The 13850-nt window shown below is 46.6% G+C and overlaps 1 protein-coding gene across 4 annotated transcripts in view; it reads right to left on the reverse strand.

The window, feature by feature from the left end:
* Nucleotides 1-270: 270 nt before the first annotated feature.
* The window catches only part of FRMPD2 (FERM and PDZ domain containing 2), a 118337-nt gene continuing 104757 nt past the window's right edge, over nt 271-13850 (reverse strand). For 2 of the 4 annotated variants that reach the window (NM_001018071.4, NM_001042512.3), the window contains 3 exons: nt 12307-12405; nt 7040-7383; nt 274-1082 (listed from right to left, as the gene is read on the reverse strand). In NM_001018071.4, the coding sequence (NP_001018081.4) occupies nt 1034-1082; nt 7040-7383; nt 12307-12405 (492 nt within the window). In that variant the 3' untranslated portion in view covers nt 274-1033. 4 annotated transcript variants of the gene reach the window in all.

The raw sequence follows: 13850 nt of genomic DNA on the forward strand, positions 1-13850 counted from the left end.
GATACTCTTCATCCTCCGAGGTGGGAGAAGGGGCTCCACATGGATGGTACATGTCACCTTCCCCATCCTCCCCATCCAATTCAGGACTAGAATACAGAAGCCCATGTTTCTTCCAGCCTTGATAAAAAAAATTCCTCACCCCACCTTCCCCTTGCCTTTTAGAATACTCTGCACGACACAGGCCCGTGAGACTCAGCCAGTGTTCAAACAGCTCATGCCAGAGGCTGCTCTGGGCACCAGGAAGCAAGAAACTTATAAGGCACCAACCCTGGCTTTGAGGAGCCCCCAATTTAATGAGAAGTTGGAGCAGTAAAGAAATGTTACAGTCCATGTAGGAAGTGCTATGATAGAAGCAGCTGGAGCACCTTACCGAGCTCAGGAGACCGGGGGGATGGGGGGGCTTGCCAGAGGGCACAGCATTGCAAGCAGGGCAATGACCCAGTTCTAAGACAGACTCGTCACATGGCAAGCAGAGTCGGTCAGACTTTGGACAAGTTTATTGACTTCTTTGGAACCTCAGTTTTCTCATTTGACAAAACTAGATGGTCAAGAAGCGTCTAGGATTATTGGGACACGTAAATTACATAATTCTGACACAGCCCCCCCAACTCTGGGTTCCTGGTATGGGGTAAGTTTTTAGTAAATGTGAGATGCTGTGATTAGTACTGTGAATATGATGGCTATTTCAACAGAAGAATTATAAAGAAAGGGCTTCAGGAAGGGATTGGGAGTGACTCAAGCAGGCAACCATCAAAGCACTTTGTGCAAAGATCAGGTCCTTTTCTGAGCACTGAAAATTTGCCTATTTAGAGATGCGGCAAGCTGAAGTGACATTTACTCCCCGCGGAAGGACACAGGAGGCAGACGAGTGGTGAAGCTCATTATCTGGTGATGCAGCCGCAGACGTAATGGTCAAAGAACAAGACTTCCAGGGGCTGCCCCAAGTTCGCCACACACGCCTCTTGATTAGAAAGAATAGTCCATGCAAAGGTAGGGCATTTTACACAGCACTGCAGACATGCAGAGAAGGTGCTCAGAAAATATCTGTCGAAAGTCTGGTTAGAGGAGATGAGAAGGAATATCTAAGAGAAAAGCACAAAGATTTAGCAAATACATGGATCCTCATTTCTCAGCCTCCTTACCCCCACCCAAATCAATGGGTTGGCTTTATTATGTGCTGCTGCTCTCCTTCTCCTTTCCTGCATTGCCTCTTTCTCTTAAAATTGGCTCTGGTGCACCCCAATAGCTACAAACCCTTAGATACCCAGAGAGCACGTCCTCCTCCCCAGTAGAGCCGGAAGCATCTGTCCCAAACTGAGCTTCACTGTGAAAGAGACATTATTTCCACTCATGAGAGCTACAAGGTATGTGAAATAGTGAATTTCATGTAAATATATGCACACTCAAGTGTATAAAAAAGAAATTATTCTACAAAGACTGAAGAGGAACACTCACTGTCAAAAGACATTTTTAATTCTTGAGCATTTGCAGGGAAAATTGACTTTAAGCTTGGCTAAATCATGTAGAAACTGTGTTTTCTTATAAACATGGGAAAGAAACATTCAAGAAGTTTTATCAAAGAATGGGAAATCTAGCCTATTGCCCAGGCCTAGGCTCACCACTGTCCCCACCACCTCAAGCAGCACCCCCTTCCCTCCGTTCTGAGCTCACTAAGCCTTGTTGAGGAGTGGAAGATGGCAGCTGTGTGTGTCCATTGGCCACTGCAGCTGCCTCAGTGTCCACACCTCACCTCCCACCCGTAGACTCCCTCCACCTCTTCTAATAAGCTCCTTGCCCTCTGGTTTTGATTCGGAGCTCCAGCTACTGGCTCTGCCTGGACAGAGACCTAGGGAAGCCATCAGCCTGAGAGGCAAGAGGCAAGGCTTCATCTGAGGTTCAACCAAAGAAAAAGCGATTTGCTCCCCACTTGTCCAGGGGGACTTGGTGGTCCCAAGGGTGAAATCTTGGCCATCATCCCACCACAAGTTGGGAGAACGACTGCCTTTCCTTCTATCCTTTTGCACGTGCCATCAGGCTGCCCTTGGAGATTTGACCTGGGGCTCAACTGTGGACATAGGGAAAGGGTGAATAGGGAATAAAGAGGCACCAGAAGCCTGTATGCCTATTTCACGGAAAGGGCAAGACTTGGAAATTTGGAGAATTTCATTAAGATAGAGACATTCTTTCACAGCAAGCCTCATGTTTTGCATGTGGACATGATGGGTAAAGAGGTGGAGTTCTTCACCCAGGGTTCAAGGCCGGCCAGCTCATGGCTAATGTAGCAGGACTTTCAGCAAGACCCTGATGCTGTCGGAGTACACGGGGCTCTCTGCTCACCCCCTGATTCTGTGTAATGATCTCAGCTTCTTCCTGCCCTCACTCTCTGCCCACCAAGCTGTCCAACAGAAGGAGGCTTTTATAGACAGATGATAACTAGAGGAGAATCTGGAGATTTCACGTGGGCTTCCTGGCCAGCCATGTCTCCCATACAAACCAGCAGGACCCCAGAACCAGGGTCCCCACCAAGTCCTGAAACTCTTCAGTGGGTATTTTTAAGAGGAATCCCAGTTCAGCTCTGAAGTCAGTGAAACCATTCTGAAGGCTCTGCTTGCTACAGAATGTTTACTGAGAAAAGACACTGTGCCCAACTTTTCTGGACAGCTGTCCTTTAAAGACTTGGGCCACCAAATTCATCTCTGCCTTTCAGGAGGAAATTCATAGAAGCAGATTGGGCATTTCAGGCTTGAAATATGAAGGTATTATAATTGTCCTATTTACTTACGGTTAAACTCACAACAAAGTTTGGGGTTTGTGTCCCTTCATGTCTCCAGTTCTCCAACATCAGGCCCCATATTGAGGTCTCCATTAGCCCTGATGACACAGCTGGGAGCCCCAGGTCTCTGCTCCTGACAACTGCATTTAGTTTTGGCAGGTTGGATTTACAGTATCTCTAAGACATCAAAGTAAACAAGTTCAACGGACTGCCAGATTTGAAGCTCAGATGATAAATCTGAGCTGAAGTACAATACTTAGGATTTGTCACAGTAGTGTGGACAGATACCCCTGGGTATCTGGGGATACCCAAGGATAGCCCTGGGAGCCTGTAAGGTGTAAAGAGAATCCTGCTAGAGGCAGCACCCAGGATCCAGCCCAGGCTCTGCTGCCTCCCTCACTCCCCTCAGCCACACTCCAACCCAAGAGCAGGCATGACATCTCCCTCACCTGGCAACTGCATCCCTCCCTAACTACTCTGACATCACACCTGGCCTGGCCCCTGCAGTTGAGTGAGATCTCTGGCCTCCTAATTATCTTTTGCTATTCCAGGCAGTGCCCTTCCCCAGAAGGTATATCATAACTTTAGGTTCATTTCCAGGAGTCCTGCTTTATTTTGCTTTCTTAAATAAATGACCATCAAGATTTATACCATCACTTTCACAAAGTGATGCTTGTTGAACTTACGTGCATTTTACTTACATGAGTTTAATGATATGTGCTAGGCAAAAAGAGAAAGAGAAAGATAACCTTAAACATTCTGCAAAGACCAACTTTCCAACCGATAAGTGTAAGCCTTGAAGTGCACATGAGTGGGAGAACTAAATCTTTCATCCTCTCAATCTGTCTCTGTTTCTATTGGGCCAGCATTTAAAGACAAACATTTTGCATACAGCATGGCCCATAAATGCAAGCCTCCTAACTTCATCTGAGGCTCGACCAAACAAAAAGTGATTTGCTCCCACACCAAGGGGCAAATAACATCACTCCTTCCAAAGTGATGTTTCAAGGGTAATGAGACTTGATGTGATTGTTGCCTTCTGCCTACCTTTAGGAACTAACCTTATAAAAAACATGACTCCAGCCAAGCTTTCCCTCTGATAGGCACGTAATCCAACTCTCCTTCATAAAAATGTACTGTACTGCTTTATTACAAGATATTTTTATAAAGATCTACTACTAGACGGTAAAATCTCTAGATATAGAGTGTGAGAAAAGAGAACAGGGAAAGAAAGTGAAATCGAATCTTGTCCATGAACACTTTGGATTTGCTGTGGTGCTGGCAGCCATCTGGCTGTAGGAAGTTGCCACCTGGCAGATGGTAAGTTCCGGCAATTTGCTGGGAATTTCAATTGAAGGGACCTGTTCTTTAGCTGGAAATAGCTCAGGAAAGGGAAGGAAAACAGACTTGCATTGAGTTCTTGCCGCATGCCAGGCACTGTGACAGCACCCTGAGCGTGCTATTTCTTTTGACCTGCACAGTACCCTGTGGAACTGTCATGGTCCCCATTTACATTTGGGAAGCCTCCAGCTTAGGGAAGGCAATGCTCCAGGCATACTAGTAAGTGGCAACGCTGAAACCACATAATAGGATACAGAAATCCATGCTCTTTTTGTTGAAGAGTTTAACTCACAGATGCCAGACACTTAAGAGGCAGTGGCCTGCGACAGTCACCTCAGAACTGAGCTGCAAACACTTCTAAGGCTTCTGCAGAGTCACAATCCCACTTTGGAATCCTGATTCAGACCCTATCCAGGAGCTGGGGGAACTGTGTCCAGGGGTCGCTGGGCATGCGCCCCTCTTTTCTTCCTGTAGGGGGCAGCCACTATGTGTGCATTAAATGCAAACTGACGTCCTATTGGAGGAGAGGTGGACTTGGTTTGAGTTCTTTCAGAGGGGAGGAAAGGTTCCTAAGTGAGGGAGGGAAAACGAAGTAAAAATAAAGCCAGGAAATGTGATGAGGCAGAAAGCATTCATCAACAGAACTACCACAGGGAGGCAAGAGAAAAAGGGGGTGCGGTTGGCCATTGAGAGAGCCAGGATACTGAGAACAGTAAAGCTGCCTGCCCACAGTTCATCCATGGGTACATGGACCATGTGGGCCCGGCAGTGAGTATGATGGTTGATGGGCGTTCACAACAGACTGAAGATAGGAGACTCCCCTGGAATGCTCTGGACAAGCCCTTGGGACTCTCGTGTGGCTCTAAAAGGAGCAGTCCCTCCAAGAATGACAGATTTTGGACATCTGGTATACCCTTGCAAATAGGGCCACTAAGCCAAATTTAATTTGGTTCAGAAAAACAGAATAATGTGATGTTTGATGCAAAAAAAAAACAGCAAATGCTAACAGATAGGCAGAAATAGGTATCCGGACTTGGAAGTAGAAGACATAAAGAGGCATAAAGATGTGGAAGATGTGGGAGCAAATCACTTTTTCTTTGGTTGAGCTTCAGATGAAGTTAGGAGGCTTGAATTTATGAGCCATGCTGTATGCAAAATGTGTAACTTTAAATGCTGGCCCCATAAGAACAGCATAACAGCATAAAGATTTCACCTTAATATAAGGAAGAACCTTCTGATCAGTAACTAGATGATGATAAAATGGGTCATTCAAGAGGTAGCAAGTTCTGCATCCCTGCAGATATTCAAGCAAAAGCTGGGACCCCTTCTTCAGGAATGTTATGGAGCAGATTCCAGCATGGAGTTTGAGGCTAGACTAGATCATTTTTATATTGAACAGGCTGATTTTCTGTCGTTTAATGAATGAAACAGTGACTGCCTATACTAATAGTTTAAAATACCATTTTAAATAACTATTGGCTATATTAAATTAAAGGCACTTGGCAAGTCAAATTCCCAGCTTGTACCTATACCCAGGGTCACTTTATAATTCAGCTCTCAGGGTCCCTGTTCATTATCCCAAGCTATCTGGCAGCAAAACCTTTCAATATCCAAACAAGTGCCTCCTCCCTACAGGAAAGTACCATTCCTTTAATATGTCCTTTAAGATCATGGTAGTAGTTGTCCTTGGACAAGTCTCTGTAGGTTACTTTCTTTATTATTTTATCAAGTATGTCAATTACTGCCTAGACTGCAATTGTAAAGAACTATAAATACACTTATGTTATACATTATCAGACAACGAAAGTGAATATCATTGATGAATGTGCTTGTTCACCCTGTTCTACTTTGCAAACCAGTTAGCTTTTGTTTGGCTGACACAGCATTCTTCAAAAAATTGTAGCAGGGTACTTTTAGGGAATGCATGCCTGGCTCCTGCTTGTCACAGCTCTCATCGGGTCCAACGGTATTACACGACTGCTTCACACTTCACAGAGACTATCATTTCCTATGGATCTACCTTTGACAGTCGTCTAGGATGGCTACCAAATGAGAGCCATTTAATCTCAGTGGGTTTATAGAGTGTCAAACACAAACAATTGCCCCTTGTTATTTACCTGCTTTGTGCCCATGCCTCTGGCTGGCAAATGCTAGAAGCAGGTCTTACCCTACATGTGCAGCCCTCTGTCTGCTCCCAACAGGTTTCCAAGCACCTTGTGTAATAAGTACTTGTCAAACTGAATCAAAGACTATGTGTTCCCTCAGCATAGGACTGAGAATCGGAAATACTTACAGATGGATGGACACAAAAATGCAGACTAAATTTAAAATGACTGTGAAAATGAATGTTGCAGGGTGGTCTTGAAGATATAGATGTGTTCAGAAAACAAAAGCTGGTGTAGCCAGGCATGATGGCTGGTGCCTGTAGACCCAGCTATTGACCGGCTGAGGTGGGAGGATCACTTGAGCCCAGGATTTTGAATTCAGCCTGGGCAACATAGTAAGACCCCATCTTTAAAAAAAAAAAAAAAAAAAAAAGCTGATGTTGATAATAAAGCATTATACTAGCAATAGAAACGAGGATGCATGTAGGAACTTCCTTCTTACTACAAAGCTTTAACAGGCCATGGAAGATACAAGAGAAAGGTTTGTGTGCCAGGAGAAAACCTGAGGCCTGCCACCTATAGCTTCCAAGACATATTGGGGACAATTGTGGTCTGGGTAGGGTTTGCTTTCCCAAAAGCTCACAGGTGGTCACAGCAGCACCAGACTTTATGCTTCTCTTGTTGCAACCTCTCTTCTAAATGCCTGGAACAGTGCTGGGCACAAAATCATCCAAGCATAGTTATTGATGGCTTGATTACAATTTCCTAGCAATGAGATGCACACAGTTTACAAAATGTCTGCAAATGTGGTGATTCTTACCTTCCAAGTCTCATGATATCACAAACTGAATAGCAGTTTTGCCTCACATCCTTTTCCAAAGAGGTCGCCAATGTTGATTCATCCCTTTCTTGGTGAAGTTTGCATAAATGAGGGTGGGACTCAGGAGAATGTGTCAAGGAACTGGCCCAAGGTCTCTCTCTGTTTTGGCCCCATTGTGCCTCTCTGATGGCCTTTTGGGAAGACTCTGGCCTGAGACCCAGGCCTTCCCCTGCATCTGGGGAGGCACTGTCCCTCCAGCTGTCCTCTTGATCCAGGATGGGGCTGGTACATGAGTCAGTACATGTTGCCCTGGTGAATTCTTTGTCAGCTGAGAGTTCAGGTGTCTATTAAAAGAAATGCTACTGATTACTGGCTGCGGGATGCACATTGTTTTTTTAAAAATACAAAGCTTTTTTCCCCCATGTGATTATAGATCAGAGTAGTTACAAGATGGGCTTTGAGGTCTGTCTATCACCATAGCATCCCAGCTCCTCCACATGCTCCCGGCTGGACACTGGGCAACACACTCAGGCACCTTGGCTTTGGAAGCTCTCCATAAATGTGAGCCTTATTTTTAAATAAAAAATATTTGCAAAATTTAGACAAAGATAAAAATGGAAGATAAATATGCAAAACAATGACTCTATTCCACTCTCCGATAAGAAATGTTTTCTTTTTAAGTTTTTCATCTTCATCTGTCATCTCAGGGCTTGTCTCCCTGTCTCCACCCCCATCAAGGTGATGTTCTTTCCTGGGTCTCCTCCTCACTTTCCCAGACATGACTTGCTTCGTCTCAACTGCTCACCTCCCTGTCAGCCTTTTAGGTTCTGGTTTTGATGATGTGCTATGTCTTGCTGCCACTGCTTGACCTTCTACAGAAAAACAATCTGTGTTTCAGTAGAAAACTGTTTTTATCTACAGCAGAACCTGCTGGGTTCTCTGATTCTGGCTGTCTCCACTGTCTTTGAGCTATTTTACAACTCTATAAATAAACAGGTCCTTTGAAATCTCTTTTGAGCCAGTTTTAACATCTGCCTGGTTCCCTCACTGAATGAGTTAAATAAAATCTTTAACATGTGTTCATTTTTATATCTGTAGGAATCATGATTTTACCTTTTCCTGAAAATTATCTTCCAGCACTTCCACCCCATGATCTCCATACCTGATGTAATAGAGCCCATGCCTGGGTTCCCACCCCTGCCCTCACCTACAAAAGAAGAACCACCCCAATGAGTGGTCTCCCCACATTTCTGATTGTACATCCCTAACAATGAGAGGGATACACCTCCAAATGTGCACATTTATTTAATTATAAATCATAAACATTTACTACTCTTCTGATAGGCTGGACATTATAAAGGATACACCAAAAATCAAAATTTTAAGAAGACCATATTTTGTCACATTTTCATACTCTTTGGAGAGACCTCCAAAATCTGTTTTCTAACCTATCCTCTCCTTCTAGCTCATTATCCCTGGACATGCTCTCCAGCAATCCTTCCCCACTCCAAGACCTCCAGTCTGTGGAGCTGCTGCTTTTCATCATTACCCCCACTCCCCTTCCCTGTCACACATGTCCTCGGTGTGCCTCTTATTCTGCTTAGATTCCATGGCTCTGCCCCTAGATGCTCACTTACAGACAAGGAAGACCCTGAGCTCCCACCTCCTTGCCCCTCTCTTCCTCCATCACGTGTCACTTGCAGATTCTGAGTTTCCATTTTAATTCCTACTCAAACTGTGTGAACCTCACCCCTGCTTCTGAGCCTCTGACTAGATTAGCTTCAAGTGTGTGACTGCAGATGTCAAATGGGCAGTCAAGACTTCCACATAATCTTTCTCTGTGTCCTTAATCCATTCAGTTTTCTACCTCTGCTCTCTAAATTATTTCTCATCTTGTCTCTCTCTTCAAGTTTCTAACAACTCCACCCTGAACTTGCCTGTGACCTCACAGTGAGAATGGACACGTTCAGATGAGAACTCTTCATCTTCCCACAGCAAATTCCACTGAGCAGCCTGTGCCCCTACCCCAACTTCAGCTTCCACCTCTCGCCACCCATTTCTGTGCTCTACTTCATGGCAGCCTCTTAGATGAGTGTCTCTTCTCACCGTTTCCACGCCTCCCTCCTTCTTTCTTGCACCCACTAGCACCAGCCTTCTGTCCTTACCACCCAAGGGAAGGAGCCCACATCAGGGTCCCCAGCGACCTCTATCTTTCTAAAGCTGAAGAACAATATTTTGTCCTTTCACTCTCTCTCTCAGCAACGTTCAACAAAGTGTGTCCCTCCCTCCTTCCTGAGAGCTTCCTTGCTCATTAGCCCTACTTACATGGAGTTGACCATGAGCCCCACCCTTGCTTGGTTTTTCCACCAATTCCCAGGCCCCATCTTAATCTCATATGTTGTCCCATCTCTGTACCAGGCCTCTCAATGTTGTTATGCTCTGTGCTGACTTCTCAGTCCTCTCCTTGAACTTATCTGCACTCTTTCCCAAGGTGATCTCAACCATTTCATGGCTTTACACGACCTCTATATATGCTGACAACTCCCAAATTCACTTTTCCCAGCCCTGATCTCATGCCTATTCTCCACAACTGCCTAATAGACTCTTCACTGGATAGCCTATAAACATCTCAGTTTTAAATGATACCAAGAACTATTGTTTCTCTTCCATGCACCCCAGATGGCCTTCCCCAGCCCCTGTAAGCAGTCCCTCTCTTGGGAACTGGTACCAAGAGAGATGAAGTGGAAAATAGGATCTATGATTACCCTCCTAAAGCATGAAATAGGTATATGTGATCTAGTGCAAAGAAGAGAGGTATTGGAATCAGGAAAATCAGGCTTTTTACCTTCTTACCCCTCCTTCACCCTGCATTGGTGGTACCACCATTTCCCCAAGGCTTCCTCATGCCAAAGCTTGATTGCTCTCTTTCCTCATGCCTGTTTCTAATCCCAAAGTAGTCTCCTGAACTCCGCCTCCCAGATGTATCCCAAATCTGGCTGCTTCTTAACACTTCAGCTACAGCCTGAGTCCAAGCCACATCATGTTTGACCTGAATGACTGCTGCTTGACCTCCTTTAGTCCCTGTGCACCAGTAACCCGAGTGGCCCCTCTGAAGAACGGAGGAGGGCATTTCCTGCTTAACCCTCCGTGCCAGCCCAGTGGCTTCCCACTGCATGCAGGATGGTGGCATCATGCTCCTCTGATCCCCAAGGCCCTCCAGGGTCCCTGCCACCTCCACAACTTCCTCCACTTCTGCTTCATTAACGATGGCCCAAGCACACTTGTATTTTTGTCCCTCAAACATCCAAGTGGGTTCCCATCTCAGGGCCTTTGTTCATGCTGTTCCTTCTGCCTGGAATGCCCTTACCCCAAATGTGGGCATGGCTGCCTCCTTCTCAGAGGTGCTTTACTTTATGGACTAAATGCTTGCTCCCCAGAGCTGCTGACCCTTGTTCTGCAATCTGACCACTGGAGCCACCCAAGCAAATCACAATCCTCCCACTTGGCCTTCGGGTATGAGGAGGGAAAGCTCACCCCCACACCTCACCTGGACCCTTCCTGCTAGATCTTTATGGGCTCTCCTGGGAGGAGCTATTCTCCAGGATGGAAGTACCACTTTTTTCCCTGGGATTTCCTAGATATTTCAACAAAAACACAGGGTCCCAGCACCTTGGCCTGAATTTGTGTGTGTGAAATTTGGCCCTCTCTCACCTGGTTCGGTTTCTTAACACAATTGCTGCTGTCTACCTTCTTTTCCAACCCAGCAACTTTTGGATATCTTTCCCATAGCTCTTCCCTCCCTAGAGGCTATGTCAAATGACCTCTTGGAGTCTAAGCATCAACAGGATCTGGGACATCAAGTCCTTTATGTTGTCCTAGTGATGGTGTCACCCTCAGGCACAATAAGTGATCACTTTTATCCACATCCTAGAGATGAGGAATCATGGGGCCTAGAGAGGACAGGCAACTGCCCAAGGCCCATGCAGCACAGCAGGTACAGGTGATCCAGGTACCCGCCCAGATCCCCCTCCAGGACTGAGATTCGCATCCTACTGCCTCATCTCCCCTCCCCTGGGGCAGCCCACACCCCAGCGCTGGTTAGGGCAACAAGCAAAGGCACAGGTTCTCTTGTCCCAATTCATGGCAGCTCCAAGGGGCCATCTCTGCTCCAGGGCTCCCTCCAGAATCAGCTGAGGCCCTGTTTATAGCTGCACATTGATCTCTCCTTCTGCCCCACCCCACCTCAGTCACCCTCACAGGGGATGTTCTCAAGCGCAGGCCCCATAAAACCTCCCACGCTCACATCTCTGCTGCAAAATCTGTTTCCTAGGAACCCCACAGAAGGCATGGCAATGGGTAATTGTATCTGTCAACTTGGCTAGGCCATGGTACACAGATAGGCGGTCACATACCATCTAGATGTCACTGTGAAGGTATTTTTTTTTAGATGTGATTTGACATTTAAATCAGCAAACTTTGAGTAAAACAGATTGTCTTCCATAATGTAGTGGGCCTCATGCTGTCAGCTGAAGCCCTTAAGAGGAAAGACTGACCTCTCTGAGGAGGAGGGAGTTCTGCCTCCAGACCACCTTTGGGCTTGATCTCCATCAATTATTCTCTGGGTCTCCAGCCTGCTGGCCTCCCCTGTAGAATTGGACTGGCCAGCCCTCAAAATCACATGAACCAATTCCTATAATAAATCTCTTTCTCTCACTCTCTTCATATATAAACACACACATAAACACACACACACACACACTCATTCTATCTGTTCTATTTCTCTGAGAACCTGACTAATATATGTGTCAAGGTAAAAATCCCTATTTTCCTGATTCCAATGGCTCTCTTCTTTGAACCAGACTGCACGTGCCTATTTCATGCTTTAGGAGGGTAATCATATATCCTATTTTCCACATCATCTCTCAGAATGGAAATTCTTATTGGAAATTCCCTTGGTCTGCTTCTGTGTCTACTCTCCTTCTTCCCAGGCTTCCCTCTCTGATGCCTGAGCTTCCAGAGAGCCTGGCCCTAAAAGTTTCACAGCCAAAGTCTAAACATGTAAACATCTACAAGAAGACCCAAATGTCAGAAGAGGCAGAATCAGGGAGAGGAAGGAGACCTACTGAGGTTTGGGGGCCAGCTATTTTCCTACCCCTGTGAAAGGAGGTGGCACTGAACCTATCTACAACCCTCTTAGGACCCTAGAGTCTGGAAAAGGGGGGCCCAACCAGAGCCAGGTAGAGAGAGTAGAAGACACTGCAGCCTACCTGCCATTCCTGCTCCAGCTCAGGCAGCGCACCTGGAGGGGGTCGGCAAAGGAGGAGCGTGACTTCCTGTGGGGCCCCTCTCAGTAAATGCAGCACCTCCTGCGAAAAACCAAGATTCACTGTTAGATTTGGGCTTGCATTGCTGGGGATGCAGTGATGTTCTCCCCACTGCGTCCCAGGCACTAGCTCCTCCTCCCTGCACCTTGATCTATTTCTCACTCCAGAGAACTCCGGAGAACCCTGCTGTGGGCCTGACTTTTCAAAGTGCAAGGAACCAAGGTCAGTGGCCTGCAGCTTCCACAAAGTTGATGCAAGATGCTGGGCTGTGCATCACCTTTGTGCAGCTTGGGTTCTGGGAACCTCTCATCTGTAATATTGCAGTAACCTCCTCTCCGCTCCCTGCCTTCACCAGTGTCACCCACCTGCCTCCTTCCACATTGCTCAAGGGAATGGCAATATCTGCCAATACCAATGCCTTTTCTTCAGAGAGAGAAAGAATGACTCCAACAAATAGCTGTTCATCTCAATTGCCCTTTCCTCCCAACCTGCCCTCATCTTGGGCCAGCAATTTTGCAGCCTCCACCATCTGAATCTCTAAAGCCTGACCCTTGGCTCTGAGCTTCCTATCAGGGCTCGGCTTGGGCTCTGGGAACCTCTCACCTGTAGTATTGCAGTGACCTCCTCACTGCTTGCTGCCTTCTCCAGTGTCACCCACCTGCCTCCCTCTGCAATGCTCAAGGGTAGTTTTCCACAGTGCAGATATAACTGAGTCCTTCCCCCACTGCACACCCTGGCTGACTCACTTTTCCCTCAATGTAAGCTCCAAGGCATAGCACATAGACCCCGTTTCTGCCTGCCTCTGCCTCTCACCACAGTTCCCTCTCTCCCATCTACTCCCCTCTGCACCCACGTCCTAAGCCCCTGCCATGCTGAATCTGTTGCTCCAAGCCACCCTCTCAATGTCCAGGGTTCAAGGTTGCCTCGATAGCTCCTATTTCCTATTTAGACCAGGATTTCTCAAACTCTTGGCACTGTTGACCTCTCAGGCTGGACAATTCCTTATGCGAATGCCTGTCCTGTGCATTGTAGGTTGTTTAGCAGCATCTCTGATCTCTACTCACTAGATGCCAGAAGCACTCATCAGTTGTGACAATCACAAATGTCTCTGGACTTAATCAAATATCCCATGAGAAGGAAATAATCTCTGCTTAAGAACTGCTGATCAAGACACTCCCCAGTCCCTGCTTCAGCCACACAGGACTTCCAAGGGGTGCACTTCTTTCCTGGCTCACTGGTGTGAGCACTGCAGCATGGGCTTTCATCTCTCAGGATACATATCTCCTGCCATCACCGCTGTTTTCTGTCCATGAGCTCTGAAACTGCATGAGCTGTCTTCCTCTGTGTCTTCAGTCTCTCATAGAGTTGCCAGCCCAGCAGTGGTTCTCAGAGAAGGGTTCTTGGATCAGGAGATGGATGGATGAAGGCATGCCCTCCCACCCAAGCATATGGTGTTCTAGAGACCTCCCCCCAGCCCTGCCCAGAGC

Source organism: Homo sapiens, chromosome 10 (assembly GCF_000001405.40).
Source record: "Homo sapiens chromosome 10, GRCh38.p14 Primary Assembly".
NCBI classification, from domain to species: domain Eukaryota; kingdom Metazoa; phylum Chordata; class Mammalia; order Primates; family Hominidae; genus Homo; species Homo sapiens.